Genomic DNA, 20,949 nt, shown 5'->3' with positions numbered 1-20,949 from the left:
TGAGTAGCCTGGTGTGTGTGTGTGTGTGTGTGTGTGTGTGTCAGAAGAATGAGTAGCCTGGTGTGTGTGTGTGTGTGTGTGTGTCAGGAGAATGAGTAGTCTGGGTGTATGTGTGTGTGTGTGTGTGTGTCAGAATGAGTAGCCTGGTTGTGTGTGTGTGTGTGTGTGTGTGTGTGTGTGTGTCGGGAGAATGAGTAGCCTGGCCTGAGTGAGAAGTGAGGGAAGAGGTAAAGTGCCAACAGATAGAAGAGGGAGGAAGCTTGGAAACCAAGGAGATGTATTTCGGCTCCTGACAGTTGTTTTGAACTTGTTTCAGCCAGCAGAATTTCTTTTTCAACAGATTTGTACCTGTAACTCCATGATACAAATTTGATTTAAATGGGAGGGGGTCCTGCAGACCCACATGAGAGGTGGCCTTGAAGAATCCTTGTGGTACCCACAGGCTCTACAGTTTGGAAACTCGCGTAAGGCACTAGGAAGGCATAGATGGTTCTTGAGGAGGCTGACCTCTTATCAGTCTCAATTTTTCTATATCCCCTGGATCAACAGACCTGGAAGTGGATGGACTGTGGTTGATAAGAGCTGACACATTGCCTGGCCATCCTCCTGCTACCACTTCCCCAGAGAAAGCACCCGTTATGTAGTCAGAGGAGAAAACTGAGCCCATCTCCTCTTTATGGTGAACAAAGTAAGGTTTGTTCATGGCAAGTAGGGGCTGGAAGGGAGAACTTGTGATTCTACGCTGAGACTTACTTACAAAAAAATAAAAAACAAAAAAAAAGGAAAGAACAGACCCAGACAAATTGTTTCATGGGTATAATTTTTTTTTTTTTTTTTTTTTTTGAGATGGAGTCTGGCTCTGTCAGCCAGGCTGGGGTGCAGTGGCGTGATCTCGGTTCACTGCAAGCTCTGCCTCCCGGGTTCACGCCGTTCTTCTGCCTCAGCCTCCCGAGTAGCTGGGACTACAGGCGCCCGCCACCATGCCCGGCTAATTTTTTTGTATTTTTAGTAGAGACGGGGTTTCACTGTGCTAGCCAGGATGGTCTCGATCTCCTGACCTCGTGATCTGCCTGCCTCAGCCTCCCAAAGTGCTGGGATTATAGGCATGAGCCACTGTGCCTGGCCTTTATGGGTATAATTTAATGTAAATGCCTGGAAGAGGTCTGCAAGGACACCCATCAGATGGTGAGTGGTTACCTCTGCAGGGAACATGGGGCCTGGGAGTGTAGTCCCAGGCAGCTCACCTTCTCTGTACCTTGTAAGTTTTTGAAAGAAAAGATGCTTGTGTCAAATTATATAATTAAAAATTAATTTAAAAAGTAATATATGTGGCCAGGAGAGGTGGCTCAAACCTGTAATCCTAGCACTTTGGGAGGCCAAGGCAGGCGGATGGCTTGAGCCCAGGAGTTTGAGACCACCTGGGCAACATGGCAAAACCCCATCTCTACTAAAAAAAAATTAGCCAGGCATGGTGGTGTGCACCTGTAGTCCCAGCTACTTGGGAGGCTGAGGTGGGGGATCACCTAAGCCCAGGAGGTAGAGGCTGCCGTGAGCCAAGATTATGCCACTCCACTTCAGCCTGGGCAACGGGAGTGAGACCTGTCTCAAAAACAAAACAAAACAAAACAAAAGTAATATATGAATATATGTTCTTTTTTTTTTTTTAATGGGAAAGTCTATTCAAGCCACAATTCACCACCCCCCGCCCCCATCAGAGATAACCACTATTAGCTTTGGGGCGTCATCTCCCCAGCTTCTTTTTTAAAAATCAATACCAGTGTGTGAATATACTTACACTTTTTAAAGACCGAAAACTATGCTCTGGTTTTTCTTCATAACAAATAAATCTTTTGCCTTTTACTAAAAAAGGAAAATGAAAACTGATTATATTAAACAGAGAGTTTTGTATCCTGCTTTCTCTTCCCTTAACCTTTCCCCGTGTCATTAAATCCACTCCGAAAACATGGATTTTAATTACCGCCTAGTGTTCGCTGAATGCAACCATGCCCTCTTTGTTAGATACACTTGGTTCTTTATGCTTAAAAGCTCCTTGGAGGGTCACCGGTTGGAACAGCCAAGTGTTGTCATTGCTGTGGGTTGGCAAATGGGCCCTCGCTGACTAACCTCTGCCACGTTAACACGTGGTTTTTGGATCCGTAGCACCCCGAGCAGAAGGCAGACCGGTATTTTGTGTTATACAAACCGCCCCCTAAAGACAACATTCCCGCCCTAGTGGAGGAGTACCTGGAACGCGCCACCTTCGTAGCCAATGACCTCGACTGGCTCCTGGCCTTGCCTCACGATAAATTCTGGTGCCAGGTAACATTCTATCAAAATTAACGCTAAGACAAAGCACATGACATGCCATTGGTTGGTTGCTGTTGTTGTTTTTCTTCCCCTAGGAGGTGCTTTTTTGTCTACTTCTTTCACTGGATCCTTAACAGCAAATTGTGGTTCGGATTGCTCTGTCTTGTATCACAATCTTAATGTTTACACACCTTTCAAAGTGTCAATTTTAGAATCTTGTGTTTAGCCCTTGGCTCATTCATACCTCCTTGGTCCCTTGGGGTCGGAGTGTTTGGAATAGGGCAGGGCTGATGGGCATTGAGTCCCTGCACAGTCCACCCACAAGCCCCTGGGGCCTAAGGGATAAATCCTCGCTCTCCTCTGTCTCCTGGTTTAGGTGATCTTTGACGAGACTCTACAGAAGTGCCTGGACTCCTACCTGCGCTATGTCCCCCGCAAATTCGACGAGGGGGTGGCCTCAGCCCCTGAGGTTGTTGACATGCAGAAGCGCCTCCATCGAAGTGTTTTTCTCACCTTCCTCCGCATGTCCACTCACAAGGAATCCAAAGTAAGCCACTGATCCCATGACAGGTCATCACCCGATACTCGACACCTCTGTGCCGGGCTCTCCACCCCTGGGAAGGAAGGCTCTGGAAGCATTGAGTTTCCTCTTTGTCTCTCTTCCATCTTTATTCCCACTGTTGGGGAAGAAATCTGTGCCACGTCCCTTATCCTCTAATTCACTGGGTTGGTCTGTGTTACACCCAGTATTTCCATCAAAGAGAGCCGAGGGCCCTTTGCCAGCTGACGCGTGACTGCCTTGACTTGTGCGTCAGAGAGAAAAAACATTGATTCTGACTTCTTAAAGGAACTTGTGTACTCTTTTTAAAAATCTTTACTGTTTTTTTTTTCCTGACTTTAAAAATAATACTGCTATCTCTAAACAACCCAAACATTGCGGAAATACGAATGTCACCGACAAAATCTCTCCCCTGCAAAATAACCACTGTTAGGTGCATTTTTCTTTCTTTGCTTTTTTTGAGACAGGGTGTCACTCTGTTGCCCAGGCTGGAGTGCAGTGGCGTGATTATAGCTCATTGCAGCTTCAGTCTCCCAGGCTCAAGTGATCCTCCCATCTCAGCCTCCCAAATAGCTGAGATACAGGCATGCACCATCATGCCTGGCTAATTTATTTGATTTTTAGTAGAGACGAGGTCTCGCTATGTTTCTCAGGCTAGTCTTGAACTCCTGAACTCAAGTTATATTCCCACCTCAGGCTCCCAAAGTGCTGGAATTACAGGCATGAGCCACTACACCCAACCCTATTACATGCATATTTCTTCAGGGAATTTGTTCCCTTTGAGTGTGTGTGTGTGTGTGTGTGTGTGTGTGTGTGTGTGTGTATTTAAAAAATAGGATCTTTTTAAAAAGTGTTATAATATGGACATTTTCTCTTCCTTTTTCTTTGTTTTTAGAGAATCTCTGTCACCCAAGCTGGAGTGCAGTGGCGCAATCATAGCTTCCTGCAGCCTCAAACTCCTGAGCTCAAGGAATCCTCCAGCCTCAGCCTCCAAAGTAGCTGGGACTGCAGACACCACCACACCCGGCTAATTTAAAAAATGTTTTTGGAGAGAGGGCATCTTGCTATTTTGCCCTGGTTGGTTTTGAATTCCTGGCCTCAAGCAGTCCTCCCTCTTCAGCCTCCCAAGTAGCTGGGATTATAGGCACTAGCCACCACACCTGACCTAGAATGGAAATTTCCAAATATACATAAATACAAAATTTTCTTTTCTTTTTTTTTTTTTTTGAGATGGAGTTTCACTCTTGTTGCCCAGGCTGGAGTGCAATGGCATGATCTCTGCTCACTGCAACCTCCGCCTCCTGGATTCAAGCATTCTCCTACCTCAGCCTCCCAAGTAGCTGGGATTACAGGCATGTGCCACCACTCCCAGCTAATTTTTGTATTTTTAGTAGAAATGGGGTTTCACCATGTTGGCCAGGCTGATCCCGAACTCCTGACCTCACGTGATCCGTCTGCCTCGGCCTCCCAAAGTGCTGAGATTACCGGCGCGAGCCATCGCGCCTGGCCACAAATACAAAATTTTCATATACAAAGTACAGTGAATCCCATGTACCCTTCAACAATTATCAACATTCCGCCAATCTCATTTTATCTCTCTCCCTTAGTTCTCTTTTTTCCTGAAGTATTTTAAAGCAATCCTAGATATCATACTAATTTATCTGCAAATATTTCAGGATAAATTCCCAACTGATTGTTTTATAGCATGCTTTGTTTTTACATTAAAAGGGAGAATGGGCCTGGTATGGTAGCTCATGCCTGTAATCCCAGCACTTTGGGAGGCCGAGGCAGATGAATCATTTGAGGTCAGGAGTTCGAGACCAGCGTGGCCAACATGGCAAAACCCTGTCTCTACTAAAAATACAAAAATTAGCTGGGTGTGGTGGCGAGCTCCTGTAATCCCAGCTACTTGGGAGGCTGAGGCAGGAGAATTGCTTGAACCTGGGAGGCGGAGGTTGCAGTGAGCCGAGATAGCACCACTGCACTCCAGCCTGGGCAACAGAGCAAGACTGTCTCAAAAAATAAAATTTAAAAAAAAATTTTTTTTAAAGGGGAGGCTGGGCACTGTGGCTTACACCTGTAATCCCAGCACTTTGGGAGGCCGAGGCAAGCTCATTGCTTGAGATCAGGAGTTCGAGACCAGCTTGGGCAATATAGGGAAACCCTATCTCTACAAAAAATACAAAAATTAGCCAGGCGTTGTGGCACGTGCCTGTAGTCCGGCTACTCAAGAGACTGAAGTGGGAGAATGGCTTGAGCTGGCGAGGTAGAGGTTGCAGTGAGCAGAGATTACACCACTGCACATCAGCCTGGGCAACAGAGCCAGACCCTGTATCAAAAAAAAAAAAAAAAAAAAAAGACATGATAATACAGCCAGTTGTAAAAGTCATGGGGATGTTTAGTCTAGAGACACAAAAACATAGATAGATTAACATTTAAAAAAAAAAAAAAAGGGCGGGGGGAGAATGGCCATTGCTCCAGGTCTATGCATAAGGCATCATTAACCAGTCCCCATTTGATGGAACCAAAGATCGTTTCTCATGAGTTTGCTATTTATAATGTAGGAGTGTTCAGAAAATCTCTATCCTTTCTCTCTGCATTTTTCCTTAGGATCACTTCATTTCCCCTTCTGCGTTTGGAGAAATCCTCTACAATAACTTCCTCTTTGACATTCCAAAGATCCTGGACCTCTGCGTGCTCTTTGGAAAAGGCAACTCACCACTGCTCCAGAAGATGATAGGTGTGTAGGATGCAGGACTGGGAGGATGCACCAAGATGGCCCCCACATGCCAAACTAAAGGTTGCAAAGGCCAGCGCTTTGACAGTGCCCAGGGACTCAGGGCGATAGGGGCAGGGAGTCTTGGGAAATTGCTTAACAGATATATGAGTGTCACCTCAAAATGACTAGGTAGTGACACTACCTAGGGAGGTGGAAATAAAACTGTGTACCAGACAGTTCCCCAGGGATCTGGAAATTTTTTGTTTTTGTTTTTTTTCAGGAGAATCACTTGAACCTGGGAGGCAGAAGTTGCAGTGTTTGAGATGGAGCAAGACTCCATCTCAAAAAAAAAGAAAAAAGACAAAGCCTTGCTCTGTCACTCAGGCAAGAGTGCAGTGGCGCAATCATATTTCACTGCAGCTTCACATTCCTGGAGTAAAGCTATCCCCCCAACTCAGCCTCCCAGGTACCTGGGACTACAGGTGCACACCACCATGCCTGGCGAATTAAAAAAAAATTTTTTTTAGTAGATGGGGTCTCACTATGTTGTTCCAGCTGGTCTTGAACTCCTGGCCTCAAGTCATCCTCCTGCTTTAGCTTCCTGAACAGCTGAGATTACAGTGTAAGCCACCATTCTGCCTTGGGAGTGTATTAGTATTATGCAATTGGCCATGCATCAGACATAGGAATGGGGAAGTTTCCTTTGGCGACGAATGTAAGAACAGCAGTGATAACTAAGCTAACCTTTATTGGAGAGTGTTCCGGGGACCTGGCATTCTGCCAAGCACTCCACATATGTTATGTCAATTGGATCCTCACAGCAGCCCTGTGAGATAAGTGCTGTCATCATCCCCACTTACAGATAAGGAAACTGAGGTTAAAATGTAGGGGACTTGCCTGAGAGGATATGACTAATAAGTGGCCCAGCTGGGACGTGTGTAAACGTAGACCTGACTCTCAAGCTCTTGCTCTGCAACTCCCTGCTTCAGGGATGATGGCACTGTGTCAAAAATGTCATGATTTGCATTGTTGCTGAGAGCAGGTAGGGACAGAGTTCAGAGAGGGCTCTTCTGGGTTGCAAAAGGAACGGACATTAGCCGTTGGATCCCATTAGCAGGCAGAGGGGAGAAGGTTTGATCAAAAACAAGCAGTTTTTTTTAGAGGTTCCTCTTTATACGCACACACACACAAAAAAATAAGAAAAAAAGAGAAACAGAAGCACTGTGGGACGTTACAGAGGGAGCGCCCCAGTGAATTCCTCTTTGAATTGTAGCTCATGGAGCTGGGCCTGGCACAGAGGGGTGCTCACCCTGGACGCCCTTGCCAGCTCTCCTCACCTGGAGACTGTAGGACACAGTCTTCGAAATACCTAGTTACAAAACTGAGTTATCCCTTATAATGGTCACTTTCCTTTATTCTTTCCTTTTTTTTTTTTTTTTTTTGTGTATTGAGATGGAGTTTCGCTCTTGTTGCCCAGGCTAGAGTGCAATGGTGCAATCTCGGCCCACCGCAACCTCCGCCTCCCAGGTTCAAGTGATTCTCCTGCTTCAGCCTCCGAAGTAGCTGGGATTACAGGTATTTTTAGTAGAGATGGGGTTTCTCCACGTTGATCAGGCTGGTCTCGAACTCCCGACCTCAGGTGATCCACCCGCCTCGGCCTCCCAAAGTGTTGGGATTACAGGCGGTGAGCCACTGCGCCCAGCCTTTTTTTTTCTTAATGGTAAAGATAATATGTGTTAATTTAAGAAATTTTGAAAGGATATAAAGTATAGTGAAGCAGGAAAGCAGTTACCAGATTTCTACAAGAAACAACCATTTGGTTGTTTTTTCCTTCTAGTCTTTTCTCTGTATTTTTCTTAAACCATACTTGATCATAATGTATATGAAATTTTGCAGCCAGGCGAGGTGGCTCACGCCTGTAACCCCAGCACTTTGGGAGGCCGAGGCAGGCAAATCACGAGGTCAGGAGTTCGTGACCAATCTGGCCGACATAGTGAAACCCCGTCTCTACTAAAAATACAAAAAATTAGCCAGGTGTGGTGGTGTGCACCTGTAATCCCAGCTACCCGGGAGGCTGAGGGAGGAGAATCGTGTTAACCCAGGAGGCAGAGGTTGCAGTGAGCCAAGATGGTGCCACTGCACTCCAGCCTGGGTGACAGTGCGAGACTCCGTCTCAGAAAAAAAAGAAAAAAAGAAATTTTGCATCCAACATTTTCACTGAAATAATCTCTGGTTTCTCATTCATATCTAATTATTTCCTGATCATCAGTTAATCTTTTTTTTTTCCAGCCTGGGAAACACAGCCACACCCTGTCTCTACAAAAAATTAAAAATTAGGCGTGGTGGCATGCCCCTGTAGTCTCAGCTACTCTGGAGGCTGATTCTGGAGGATGCCTTGAACCTAGGATGTTGAGGCTGTAGTGAACTATGATCACACCACTACACTCCAGCCTGGGTGACAAAGTGAGATCCTGTCTCTTAGACCCTGACTAAGAAAGACTCCTAGTAATTTTACCACATATTGAGAGGATGGAGCAAGTGAGCATCAGAAGGTACAGTTAGAGAAACAATTCTTAGGCCAGTTTGCTTAGAGAGTGGAGCATTCCAGGAGGGCAGCAGCAGGAGACGGGGGAGGGGGATTTGGAGCCTTGGAGCCAGATTGGGAAGGGCTTCATGCCAGGCTTTAGCACTTGGGGAGTGGTATTGCTTGGTGGCTAAGAAGACAGGCTTTGAAATCGAACTGCCTAATTCACACCACAGCTCTATTCCTGGCTGTGTCCCCTTAACCAAGTCAATTAACTACTCTAAGCCCCAGTTTTTTTCATCTGCAGAATGGGAAGACTAATAATATACCTACCCATAGGATGGGTGCAGGGATTACATTGGGTTGTTGAGGCTGGGTGTGGTGGCTCACGCCTGTAATTCCAGCATTTTGGGAGGCTGAGGTGGGTGGATCACCTGAGGTCAGGAGTTTGAGACCAGCCTGGCCAATATGGCGAAACCCCATCTCTACTAAAAATACAAAAAATTTGCCGGGCATGGTGGCAGGCACCTGTAATCCCAACTAGTTGGGAGGCTGAGGCAGGAGAATCGCTTGAACCTGGGAGGCGGAGGTTGCAGCGAGCCGAGATTGTGCCATTGCACTCCAGCCTGGGCAACAAGAGCGAAACTCTGCCTCAAAAAAAAACAAATTGGGTTGTTGAGATAGCATGAGTAGAGTACTCAGGACCGTGCCTGGCATGTCTCAGCCATTGGTAAGCATGAGCTCTTACTGTGATGAGACCGCGGAGCCTCCAGGAGCTTGGAGCAAGGCAAGGAGCCATCTGGTAACAAGATTCATCTGGCCACATGCAGGTGGGGAGGGTGGAGACAGGAGGCCTTGTAGGAGGTGGGCACATCTGTGTGGGTTTGAAGGTGAGAGCCTGGCTGGGCTGCTGGGGAAGAAAAGGAAATCCAGGAAGCAGATTTAAGCAGGGCTTGGTGAGGTCAGCTGGAACAGGTGTTGGTTGCAGGAAAAAGGCCCTTTGGGAGGTGGGAGAGGAAGCTTTGGGTAGAGGTGAGGTTCAACATGGGACCTATTGGGTGTAAGATGGCTGCAGGTATCCAGAGGGGACTGCGTGGTGATGGGAGAGTGAGAAAGCCTACTCACTTACTGCCTGGGCTCCTAATCGTCCAGATCACTGACTGCTTTGAGAATCAGATGAAAACTTCTGTCCAGAAAAATGTCCTCCCTCATAGATTCTGAGGTGTTTTTAAGAGTTCTCAGACCTTGAGGTTGAGAACCCTAAACTGGCTTATTAAGAAGAGCCCCTTCTTTGGCTCCTAGAGGGGAGTCAGCACAAAAGAAGTCAGGACCAGGCCTCAGGAGCCCCTTCACTGTGTGTGTGTGTGTGTGTGTGTGTGTGTGTGTGTGTGTGTGTGTGTGTGTGTGTGTGTGTGTGTGTGTGTGTGTAGGCAGGGAGTGATGCAGAGAAGGGACCTGCAGTTTCTGTCTGTCTCTCTCACACACACATACACAGCAGCTCTCTTTTTCTGTCTGTCTCTCTCACACACACATACACAGCAGCTCTCTTTTTAACCTTTGAGCAGAAGGCACAAGAAGGGGCAGCCGCCGATTTCTATACCGCGGAAACTCAGTCAAAGTGATCACTTGTAAGAGGATTGACAAGTGAAAGAAGGTGGGAGAAAGGGGACTGGTTGAGTGTTCTGTGAGTAGAAGCCCAGTTCCTTACCTTGCTTTTTTTTTTTTTTTTCCAAGCAATCCTCCCACCTTGGCCTCCTGAGTACCTATCCCAATCCCCCACCTAATTTTTTTTTTTTAACTTTCAAGGCTGGTATTGTGCATCAACAAGTATAATTTTGAAAGCAAGCCATTTCAGTTAGACTCTTGACACTGCTTTGCAAACCAGGAATGACTTGGGCCTTGGCCCAATTGTGGACTGCAGTGATCTACTTGGCAGTATCTCCATTCACCCTGGGTTTCTGAACTGCTTTCATCTGAGAAGGGACATTTCAAAGGATGCCATTGCTATTCCTTACATTTTTATTATTTCTTTAGGAGATCAAAAGTTACATCGTCACTGTCATTAGAATCAGATGAAGGTGAGGAAAGGGACTTAGAAGACCCCAAGAATAGAGTATGAAATTTGATCTATACTGATGCATGTAAAACCTCGCTTTACTCAGGCTGCAGCACTGGAAGGATCATGAGAGGGTGCCTCCCCAGTGCGAAGTGGTTGGGATGCTTTGGAGAACATGGTATGGCCCTGGGGGTTGTAAGAGGAGACCTCTCCTAATGCCTGGGTCAGGAGGCACTGCGTGGAGGAGGTGACACCTGCCTTATGGTGGAGTTAGCTCTAGGAAGGCACTCCAAACAGAAGGCGGGGACAGGGATGGTTTTCTGAGGTTGAGAATGGTGTGAGGGAGGAGTGTAGTGTAGGGAAGGGGGAAAGGGTGGCCTGGGATACCAGCAGAGGCCAGATCTCACAGGGCCTTTTGTGCCATGGTCAGGAGTTTGGACTTAATCTTGAGGGTTTTTTTTAGGAAGAACAGAGTTTGGTGGGGAGATAGCTCTGTCTTTCCTTGCCTATCAGGAGTAGGAAGTGGGTGCAGATGGTCTGGGCACACCTTCACAGGTTATGGGATCAGCACCCATCTGGAGGTGGGAGGTGCTGAGCAAGTGCGGGCTGGTAAAACTCAGCTTTCTGGAATCAAGAAATGCAGTGGCATCCAGGAAAGTGCTTACAGAAAGTCCAGCCACCTAGTGACTTGCTTACTCACCCAGCCCCATCTGGTTTTTGAACTCATTCATTTTTCAAATCCTCCAGGGTCCAGCAAGGGCTGCATGGTCATCGATAAGGAAACCAAGGACAGACCTGCCCAAAGGCAGAGAACACCTAGAATTCAGAGCATCCTGACCATCAGCCAGCCTTAGATGCTGGGATTACAGGGGGCCAAGAACCCTGGCTGCTTAAGGGCATTGGCATTTCACATTGTCACGTCCCCAAGCTAGCTGTGATCTTCCCTCCCTCCCTCCCTCCCTCTCTCCCTCTCTCCCTCTCTCCCTCTCTCGCCATTTGGGCAGCTGGAACACTTGGTTTCTGTTCCAGTTACCATATGCTCGAACCTACGCACTCACAGCGGCAGCACTTGGAGAATAGTAAACACTTGGAGACAAGCTTCATCTTATAGGAACAATTGCAAGTGTGTGGTAAATCTATCTCCAAGTCCTTCTCAGGCCTCTCACCTTGGAGTAGGATGGATTAGTATGGTTAGCATATCTAAAAGTGAAAGGTATGAAATTTCCGGAGAAATATCTCCCTGGAATCTCCTCATATTATTGGAGAGTCCTGGATTATTGCATCCATGTTTCTTGAGCAAAGAGATCCTATCTGCTAATTTTCCTGGATGACTAACTCCAACTTGCAGAGCCAAAGCTGTCATAGGAGGCAGGGTACCCAAGTGTGATCACTCCCTGGGGACATCAGTGTGAGCTGGTTTGACCAGGGCGGGTCTTTTATGTAATTCACTAGGCAGAGGTACTTAAAAGGTTAAATCATACTGAGCAAGGTCCCTCCCCCACCCTGGGGAAGCTTCTAGGCTGGGCCAAAGCTCAGTGCCAGCAGGGCCTGGGGCCAGGACTCGTCCTAGGTCCTAGCTGCAGATAGGATTAGGAAAAGGGAGAAAGGTCACAGACCTGCTGGCAACCATTTGTAATGTGTCCTCTTCACTGCCCCGAGCCCCCACCTTTTCTCAATTCCAACCTTTCTCTTCTCTTTTTAGGAAACATCTTTACACAGCAGCCAAGTTACTACAGTGACCTGGATGAAACCCTGCCTACCATCCTTCAGGTACCAGCTCTTGGCCCTGCGCAGGGGAGGTTGAGCTTGGAGGATAGGCCACCTCCCCAACTCAATGGTGTTGCCTGACTTTCCTGGAGGAGCTGAGGAAATGTTTATTCCCTGACTCTCGCATCTCCCCAGACAGTCTCTTTGTCTTACCCCTGACTACACCTCTTTAAATTTGCCGTTTTCCCTTTTGAACAAGACTTAAGCCTAAGGGCTGGCTGGCTGGCGCTCATACAGACAGAGTTTGGCTTGCATTTTTTGTTGCTTGCCAACAGCCATATGCCTCTAAGGATATCCCTCTAAGAGACCAGTGTTTCTCAAAAAGTAGCTTTAAAGTTTTACAAAATTATTTCATGAAATAATGTTCATTGTAGAAAATTCGGAAAATAAAAAATGAAAGAGGAACATTATCATTCCCTCATAATCCCACCACCAAGAGATATCTACTGTTCACAGTAAGTTTTGGAATCCTTACATGCTAGCCTTCTTAAAATGGCACAGTCAGTTCAGTGCCTACGATGGACCGTTTTCCTCTCACTGTTGATTTGTCTTATTTTCAATGTAGTTTCCATAAATAGCCATCTACAGGGGTTCTAAAGATTTGTTATACATTGCTAAAGTATATCTTAAATGTTCATTATACTTGCCTGGCCTATGCGGTCAGATAATATCTACAGGATTCTGGGAGGATTTTCTTTTTTCTTTTTTTTTTAAGACAGGGTCCTGCTCTGTCACCGAGGCTAGAGTGCAGTGGCACAATCATAGCTCACTGCAGCCTTGAACTCCTGGGCTCAGTTGATCCTCCCACCTCAGCCTCTCAAGTAGCTGGGATTACAGGTACACACCATCTTGCCCAGCTAATTTAAAAAAAATTTTGTGGAGATGGGGGTCTCACCATGTTGCCCAGGCTGGTCTTGAACTTCCGGCCTCAAATGATCCCCTATCCTTGGCCTCCCAAAGTTTGGGGATACAGGAGTGAGCCACCACACCTGGCCCCAGGTTGTCTTTTTAATCCTCTTCGCCCTCCTTTAAGAAGGATGCTCCCATCATCCCCATCTTACATAGTTTTTACTCTGACCTCACTCTTGGAGAAGGTAATTGTCTCAGCTTATATCCTGGAAACATGGGTAAATATTCTAGAAACTCCAAGGCAGTTTTCAGATCACCTGACCCTGGCTGCTGCCAGGGGTCCTAGCCCTGGTTCAGTATGATGTGAGAGAGCCCGTTCTTGTCTTTCACAGGTCTTCAGCAATATCCTCCAGCACTGTGGTTTGCAAGGGGACGGGGCCAATACCACACCCCAGAAGCTTGAGGAGAGGGGCCGATTGACCCCCAGTGACATGCCTCTCCTGGTAAGGTTGCCCTTCGGCCCAGTCTCTTTCCTGCCGGGTCCCTCCAACCAGGGCCTAGCTACCCAGAGGCTGGGAAGATTGCCCCAGTAGAGGACCCAGTGGCCTCTTCCCTGCCCAGGGCCCCTTCCTCCAGCACAGTGAGCAACTATTATGTCCCATCACACAGGTTTAGAGCATTTTCAGCTGGCTTGGATTTCTCTCTGGGAGCTTCATTTATAGAGTAGTGGAAAGAACTGGGGAATAAGGATTCAGAGTCCTCATTTATTTCAGTTTGACATGTTCACTTGTGCGTTATTCATTGAGCCATTTATTCAGTGGACTTATATTGAGGAGTCCTGAGCATGTGCCAGACCCTGTGCTATGCCTGGAGGCAAAGCAGTAAACAAAAGCAGACTGGCCCCTGCGCTCATGGAATTTAGAGTTGACAAGGGTGACAGATAGAAGGCAAACATTCAGGAAGCCTCAACATGTGTCAGGTGCTGCCCTAGCCCTGGAGATAGAACAGGAACAAGGCAGCTATGAGCTGTCCTCCTGGAGATGGTGATCTCATTTCAGAAGGGCACGTGGCAGGTGCTGTGGGAGCAAATCATTTTACCTCTCGGAACCTCGGTTTCCTTTTCTGTAAAATAAAGATCCTCAATAGCTTCCCAGCCTACTTTTCAGAGTTGTCATGAGAACCAGGAAAGTGTGTAAGAAACTTAGAAGAAAGTGTTTTGTATACCCTCTTCAAGATGTGAAAAACCTATGGACTTAATATTCTTGTCCTGCCTCGGATGTTCCTTCTTTGCATGATGTCTTCAGATTCAAGAGTTGGTTTTCCTTTAGCTTAGAAGAGGGAACTGTATTATCTTAGAACTGGAAGTAACCCTAGCGGTGATTGGGTGTAAGGCCATTGGAGTAATGACCTGAGGCTTAGAGAGGTTAGGTGACTCACCCAGATCGTGCTCCTGAAGATGGACTAGCCAGACTTTGCCTGGGACCTCCAGTGTTCTTTTCCTCCTGTGTAACATCCTGCCTGTTTGGGACCCTGACTGTTTTAATGTTGTCTCAGGTGCTCTGCAGATCTGTATGTGTGGACAGAGGAGAATAATGCAGTGTATTCTTTTGGCAACAGGAATTAAAGGACATTGTTCTCTACCTTTGTGATACCTGCACCACACTTTGGGCCTTTCTGGATATCTTCCCTTTGGCTTGCCAGACCTTCCAGAAGCACGACTTTTGTTACAGGTAAGGCGGTAGTTCTGGCTGTTGAAATAGAGATACTGGCTTATGTACTAATTTAACAAATATTTACTCATTTAACAAATATTTACTGGGTGCTTAGAATGTACCAGTCCCTCTTCCAGCCTGGGGATGCAGCAGTGAAAACGACAGATAAGCCTCCTGCTTGTGTGGCGCCTGCATTTTAGAAGCACTCCTGTTTTTGGCCAAGACCAGGATAGGGCAGGGAAAAAAAATACACACACACATACAATGGGCTGGGCGCGTTGGCTCATGCCTGTCATCCTAGCACTTTGGGAGGCCGAGGCGGGTGGATCACCTGAGGTCAGGAGTTCAAGACCAGCCTGACCAATATGGTGACACCCCATCTCTACTAAAAATACAAAAATTACTGGGCATGGCAGCATGCACCTGTATTCCCAGCTACTGAGGAGGCTGAAACAGGAGAATCACTTGAACCCAGGTGGCGGAGGTTGCAGTGAGCTGAGATCGCGCCACTGCACTCCACCCTGGGTGACAGAGCAAGACTCCATCTAAAAAAAAAAAAAACGCACAACCAAGAATAGTTTCAGTTCAATAGAGTAGCCTGGGGGGAACACACACTAGGAAACAACAGGAGTGCTCCAACATGGAGCTGTGAGATCACCCTTGAAGGATGTCTTGAAGGAACAGGTATCTTCCAGACAAAGAAAAGTTCCCATAGCAGGAAGGGCATCCTAGGCAGGTGAAGTGAAGCATGCAGAGGCCCAGAGAGAGAGCTGGGGAGTGAAGTGTGACATGAGGCAGAGGGTGGGGACACACAGAACAGCAGGAAAACAAGCCAGTAACAAGAGCCCACTTTGGGTAAGTCAGTAGAAGTCAGATCGTGGGGAGCCTGGGATGTGCTGGCAGGGCCTTTATGCTGTAGGCAGTGGGGAGCCCCTGGAGGCTTTTATCCAAAGGAGCTGTTAGAAAGATCCTGGTGGGAGGGAGACAGATATGAAAGAGAATATGAGCCAGGGAGGCAGACCCACTTTGCCCTCTTAGCACCAAGAGTATCTGTTGCTTGTGCAGTAAGAAAGGGGTGGGTGTGGGCATTCCAGGCCAGGGTGAAAGGGTTGGCAACCTGCGTATTGCCTGGCAGTTGTGGGCACAGGCCTCTTCCTAGTGGCCTCTGATTGTCACTCTAGCAAGACGTTTCTCCCCACCATTTGTAGCAGCTTCTGGGAGCTGCCCAACTCCATCCATTCAGCTGCCTGTCCATTCTGTCATTTACTCACCCATTTAACAAAACATTTATTTAGTCCTTACATGTGCCAGAGATGGCAGCTGGTGCTGTGACCCCTCCCTGGTCGCCTCAGCTTATAAAAATCAGACATTAGGGTTATTGAGCCTCCCAGAGAATGTTAGGATAACCTGCTGCCTGGCATTTTCCCCAGAAGAGAGGGGTATGTAGCTGTCCACTTTTTTAAAAAGGTATCTTTTCTCATGATAAAAGCAGCATGTGCTTGTAGAACATTTGGAAAATCCAGAAAAGTAGGAAATTAAAATCACCATAAGAAATCATACTATTCTTAGAATTTCGTACCTTGCATATTTTCGCTTATCATAGGCATTTTCCCATTTTGTTAAAGTGTTTCCCCAAATGTGGCACAGATTGCTTTTGAAAGGCTCTTTGGAGATGGGGAAGGGATAAGTTTTGGAAGAGCTGACTTTACTGCAAGGGACAGCAGAGGCAGGGGAGAAGCTATACCCATCTCAGGGTGAGGAGGAAGAAAGGGAAACACTTTTGACTAAAGGCAACACTGCCTTTGACCCACGAACACCCTGGGGCTGACCCAGCCTCCAACTGTGCTGGAGGCCAGGAACGCCCTGCTGAGCAAATACAGCCACCTCAGTTCTCCAGGCCTCTCTGAAAGTGGTTACAGTTGCCCAATCAGCTTTGTTGATAATCCCTCTCAAAATAACCTTTTTCCTCCTTCCTTTCCCATCTATTCAAGTATAGCTGAGTAGATATACTTTTATGAATAAATAACACATTCACATGGTTCAAAACTCAAAAAGTATAAAATACACACTGGAAAGTCCCCCTTTCTACTTTCCCAGTTCTATTATTCACATACAGCCATCATTAGGTTTTTTTGGTGGAATTTTCCAGAGATATGCAAGAATATATGCACATATGAGCAACTGTGCACATTATATGTCTCCCTCCTTTTAAAAAATTTAAGGCTGGCATATTATGAGTATTTACTGTTTGCATTTTACTTTTTTACTTAACAGTGGTGCCACATCAGTGCATTAAGCACCCTTTCTCTAATGTCTTTGGTATGGCCGGGTAGAATTCCACTGTATGGAATACCAGATCCCATAGATGGTCCTTTAGGTTTTTTTCAGTTGTTTGCTATACAAAAAAATACTACAGAGGCCAGGCGCAGTGGCTCATGGCTGTAATTCCAGCACTTTGGGAGGCCAAGGCAGGCAGACCACTTGGGGTCAGGAGTTCGAGACCAGCCTGGCCAACATGGTGAAACCCCACCTCTACTAAAAATACAAAAATTAGCTGGATGTGGTGGCACGCACCTGTAATTCCAGCTATTCGGGAGGCTGAGGTGGGAGAATTGCTTGAAACCGGGAGGCGGAGGTTGCAGTGAGCAGGGATTGCACCACTGCCCTCCAGCCTGGGCAACAGAGCGAGACTGTCTCAAAAAAAAAAAAAAATTACAAAGAATAACTTTGCACACACATTATTTGGTACCTCTGTGAGTATATCTGAGGAATAATTCCTAGAAGTAGACTAGCAAGGACAGATGGTATGTACATTTTTAATTTCCATAGATCTTGCCAAATCGCCCTCCATAGGGGTTGTTCCAATTTACTCTCCCACCAGCAACATATCCTGGCAACAGCTGAACCTGTTTAGGCCAAACTGCCCTCTCTGTCATTTTTCTGGACTATCCTGTGGGCCTAGTAGGGCCTGCCTCTTTTGGCCTAGTTACCCTTTGTTACATATAGCATTGTAGTAGGATAGACATTGCCAGAAACCAGCCAACTGACAGGCATGTGTTTACAGAGGACTTGCTCCAAATTCAGCACCAACCTAGACACTTAAGCTGCAGTTCCGGCTTTGGGAAGCTTAAGATGTTTGGGGGAAGAATTATACCACAGAAAAGAGGCAGCTGCAGTTTCACTTGCCAGGGCAACAGGGCAATATATTCCACATGCAGTGCATCTAGTTCTGGAAAGGAAGAATTCCCATGAGTGAGCATGATCAGGAAGTGCATGGGAGGAGATGGGCCTGGAATGCTGCATGGAGGAGGAGGAGAATGAGGAGAAAGAAGAGAAGAGCAGTGGCCAGCATTAGCCTGAGAGGAAGCCAGAGGGCTGTGGGAGTGCTGATCTCTGGAAGAATGTTGAGGGGTTGTGCGGCTGGGATGGAGAGTTTGAATTTGAGTTGGGAAAGGGTGGTATGAAATCACCTAGGTGAGAAGCAAGATTGGCTGTATACCGTGACAGATATGGATGTACCAGAGAGAATAATTATGGTTTGCTGTCATAAGAGGTAGGGAGCTGCTAGCAGCTGTTTTTCTTTTGTTTTTTTTTAATTAGTATAATTATATTTATTTGAAAATAATTTCGTATAAATTATTTTTAATTTTACAATTTTTAAATTTTTTTTTGAGACAGTCTTACTCTGTCACCCAGGCTAGGGTACAGTGGCACAATTTCAGCTCACTGCAACCTCCACCTCCCAGATTCAAGCGATTCTCCCTCCTCAGCCTCCCGAGTAGCTGGGATTACAGGTGCCCGCCCCCATGCCTAGCTAATTTTCGTATTTTTAGTGGAGACAGAGTTTCCCATGTTGGCCAGGCTGGTCTCAAACTCCTGACCTCAAGTGATCTGCCCACCTCAGCCTCCCACAGTGCTGGGATTACAGGCATAAGCCACCATGCACAGCCTTAATTTTATAAAAGTTTTAAGCCAGGTACCTGTAATCTCAGTGTCTTGGGAGGCTGAGGCAGGAAGATCGCTTGAGCCCAGGAGGTCAAAACTAGCCTGGGCAATATAACTAGACTTCGTCTCAAAAAAAAAATTAATTAGTTAACTAAAAAGTTATAGAAACAGTGCTAACTGGCTTAACTCATAAGCCAATGTAGAAAATATGATACATTTACTTTTTTCTTAAATTTTTTAATTATTATTTTTTATTTTAATATATTTTTTTCTCATTTCCAATGGGATTGGGAAAAAATCATGAGAACATTTAGCCTATTTTGACCAAATACAAATATTGTGTTGAGATTTTCATGTTAAATTTTTTTTTTTTTTTTTTTTGAGACAGAGTCTCACTCTGTTGCCCAGGCTGGAGTTCAGTGGGGGGCGATCTTGGCTCACTGCAACCTCCACCTCCCAGGTTCAAGCAATTCTCCTGCCTCAGCCTCCTGAGTAGCTGAGATTACAGGCGTGCACCACCACTTCTGGCTAATTTTTGTATTTTTAGTAGAGACGGGGCTTCACCATGTTGGCCAGGCTGGTCTCAAACTCCTGACCTCTAAGTAATCCACCCATCTCGGTCTCCCAGAGTGCTAGGATTACAGGCGTGAGCCACCGCACCCAGCCAGAACAATTTTTTTTTTTTTTTTTTTTGAGATAGGGTCTCACTGTCACTCAGGCTGGAATGTAGTGGTGTGATCATGGCTCACTATAGCCTTGACCTCCTGGCCTACTGCCTCAGCCTCCCAAGTAGCTGGGGCTACAGGTGTGGACCACCATGCCTGGCTAATTTTTGTATTTTTTGTAGAGATGGAGTTTCACCAGCCTGTTTCCCAGGCTGATCTTGAGCTCCTGGCTCAAGCAATCTTCCTGCCTCAGCCCCACAAAGTGCTGGGATTACAGGCATGAGCCACTGTGCCTGGCTAACTGACAGTTTTTGAGCAAGAAAATTACAAGCAAGTAATCTTGGATCTGCTTCTCAAACTTCAGTGGGTTCCGAGTGGCCTTCTGATTCCTCTGTTAGTATGAGCCTATCTGGGCCTCAGTTGCCCATCTGAATGAGGGACATGGCTATAGGTCACTTCTTATGAGCTGTTCCTGGGACCAGCCCTAGTGGGTCAGTCTGGGGTGAGCTCAGGGAAGAACCAAGGGGTCCCTGGAGAAAATTGTGTGGAAAAAGAAATGGGCCTTCCCACTCCCTGGGGTTTGCTTTGATGTTCTTATGAAGTGTGGTATTTATGAACTAATCCAACATTTTCCCTGTGTGTGCCTGCACAGACTAGCTTCCTTCTACGAAGCAGCAATTCCCGAAATGGAGTCTGCAATTAAGAAGAGGAGGCTTGAAGATAGCAAGTGAGGCGGGGACAAAATTAAGAATGTTGTTGTGGGACAGAGAGGCCCGAGCAGGGCCCTGCCTTCCCTGGGCATTAGCATCCCTATCTCTAAGACAAGTGGGTGGGACCAGGGACTGTGCAGCTTTGAGCTTCTGCATCCCTATCTAGCCACTTCCTGACCTCTGCATTTGTTTTTTTTTTTGTTGTTGTTGTTGTTGTTTGAGACAGGGTCTTGCTCTGTCACCCAGGCTGGAGTGTAGTGGTGCAGTCACAGCTCACTGCAGCCTTGACCTCCTGACATCAATCAATCCTCCCACTTCAGTCTCCCGAGTAGCTGGGATTATAGGCGTGTGCCACCACACCTGGCTAATTTTTGTATTTTTTGTAGAGATGGGGTTTTGACGTGTTGGCCAGGCTGGTCTTGAACTGCATTTTTTTTTAAACTCTTAGCATATTAAAAAAAATATATGTTCTCTGTAGACTTGTATGAAGACCTAATAAGAAAGACTGCAACAACTAGAGTTAAGTGTTACTAAACACCGTGAAGGAGACTTGACCCAAAGTCCTGCTTGTACTAAGGCAATTATGTCTATTAACCCAATCCCCCAAAATACCATGATGGCTGGGCCCTGCATTGAAGCCCTTCCCTCAGCTGTTACTCCATGCTCTTGGTACTCAGCCTGCTGGTTCCTGACCCACCGTTTGAACTGAGAAGCAGCCCTGGAAGCAGCTATCTTCTCTGGGCCTATGGCTTTTGCCAGCTGCTCTCAGCAGTGAATTGTGAGGCCTTCTCTGCTCCAGGGAGGCACCTGCAACTGCTGGGGAGAAGCTCCCTTTGTGCCTTTTTTTCTTTTTCTTTTTCTTTTCCCTTTTTTTTTTTTTTTTTTTTTTTTTGAGACAGGGTCTTGCTCTGTCACCCAGGCTGGAATGGCACCATCATGGCTCACTGCAGCCTTGACCTCCCAGGCGAATGCGATCCCCCTGCCTTAGCCTCCCCAGGAGCTGGAACTACAGGCCTGCATCACCACACTTGACTAATTTTTTGTATTTTTTGTAGAGACAGGATTTCACTTAGTTGCTCAGGCTGGTCTCAAACTCCTGGGGCTCAAGTGATCCTCCCACCTCAGATTCCCAAGAT

The 20,949-nt window shown here is 46.6% G+C and overlaps 1 protein-coding gene across 57 annotated transcripts in view, besides 5 other annotated features; it reads left to right on the top strand.

Moving 5' to 3' along the window:
* Nucleotides 1–20,949, top strand: part of ASCC2 (activating signal cointegrator 1 complex subunit 2) — a 49,664-nt gene that overhangs the window by 10,334 nt on the left and 18,381 nt on the right. For 19 of the 57 annotated variants that reach the window (NM_001369941.1, NM_001369934.1, XM_011530455.3 and 16 more), the window contains 7 exons: nt 2,161–2,319; nt 2,684–2,854; nt 5,477–5,606; nt 11,868–11,935; nt 13,174–13,284; nt 14,399–14,511; nt 19,756–19,830. In NM_001369941.1, the coding sequence (NP_001356870.1) occupies nt 2,786–2,854; nt 5,477–5,606; nt 11,868–11,935; nt 13,174–13,284; nt 14,399–14,511; nt 19,756–19,830 (566 nt within the window). In that variant the 5' untranslated portion in view covers nt 2,161–2,319; nt 2,684–2,785. Of the gene's footprint in view, nt 1–340; nt 465–2,160; nt 2,320–2,683; nt 2,855–5,476; nt 5,607–11,867; nt 11,936–12,647; nt 12,770–13,173; nt 13,285–14,398; nt 14,512–19,755; nt 19,831–20,949 lie in introns of all 57 variants that reach the window. The other 38 variants (NM_001369936.1, NM_001369929.1, NM_001369927.1 and 35 more) reach the window with 14 other exon arrangements.
* Nucleotides 6,427–6,721: a silencer, noted in NCBI's record as "tiled region #3108; K562 Repressive non-DNase unmatched - State 25:Art". NCBI's record gives its function as "represses a minimal TATA promoter and a strong SV40 promoter by Sharpr-MPRA in K562 cells {active_cell/tissue: K562}" and the evidence as "EXISTENCE:reporter gene assay evidence [ECO:0000049][PMID:27701403]".
* Nucleotides 6,427–6,756: a biological region, named in NCBI's record as "Sharpr-MPRA regulatory region 3108".
* Nucleotides 6,448–6,637: a silencer, noted in NCBI's record as "fragment chr22:30217293-30217482 (GRCh37/hg19 assembly coordinates)". NCBI's record gives its function as "represses an EF-1alpha promoter that drives an FKBP-Casp9 reporter gene in an ReSE screen in phorbol 12-myristate 13-acetate-treated (for megakaryocytic differentiation) K562 erythroleukemia cells {active_cell/tissue: K562(+PMA)}" and the evidence as "EXISTENCE:reporter gene assay evidence [ECO:0000049][PMID:32094911]".
* Nucleotides 6,697–6,756: an enhancer, noted in NCBI's record as "active region_18821". NCBI's record gives its function as "activates an Ori minimal core promoter by ATAC-STARR-seq in GM12878 lymphoblastoid cells {active_cell/tissue: GM12878}" and the evidence as "EXISTENCE:reporter gene assay evidence [ECO:0000049][PMID:35858748]".
* Nucleotides 6,817–6,866: an enhancer, noted in NCBI's record as "active region_18820". NCBI's record gives its function as "activates an Ori minimal core promoter by ATAC-STARR-seq in GM12878 lymphoblastoid cells {active_cell/tissue: GM12878}" and the evidence as "EXISTENCE:reporter gene assay evidence [ECO:0000049][PMID:35858748]".

Source organism: Homo sapiens, chromosome 22, assembly GCF_000001405.40.
Source record: "Homo sapiens chromosome 22, GRCh38.p14 Primary Assembly".
NCBI lineage: Eukaryota > Metazoa > Chordata > Mammalia > Primates > Hominidae > Homo > Homo sapiens.
This window is presented reverse-complemented; position numbering and strand designations above follow the sequence as displayed.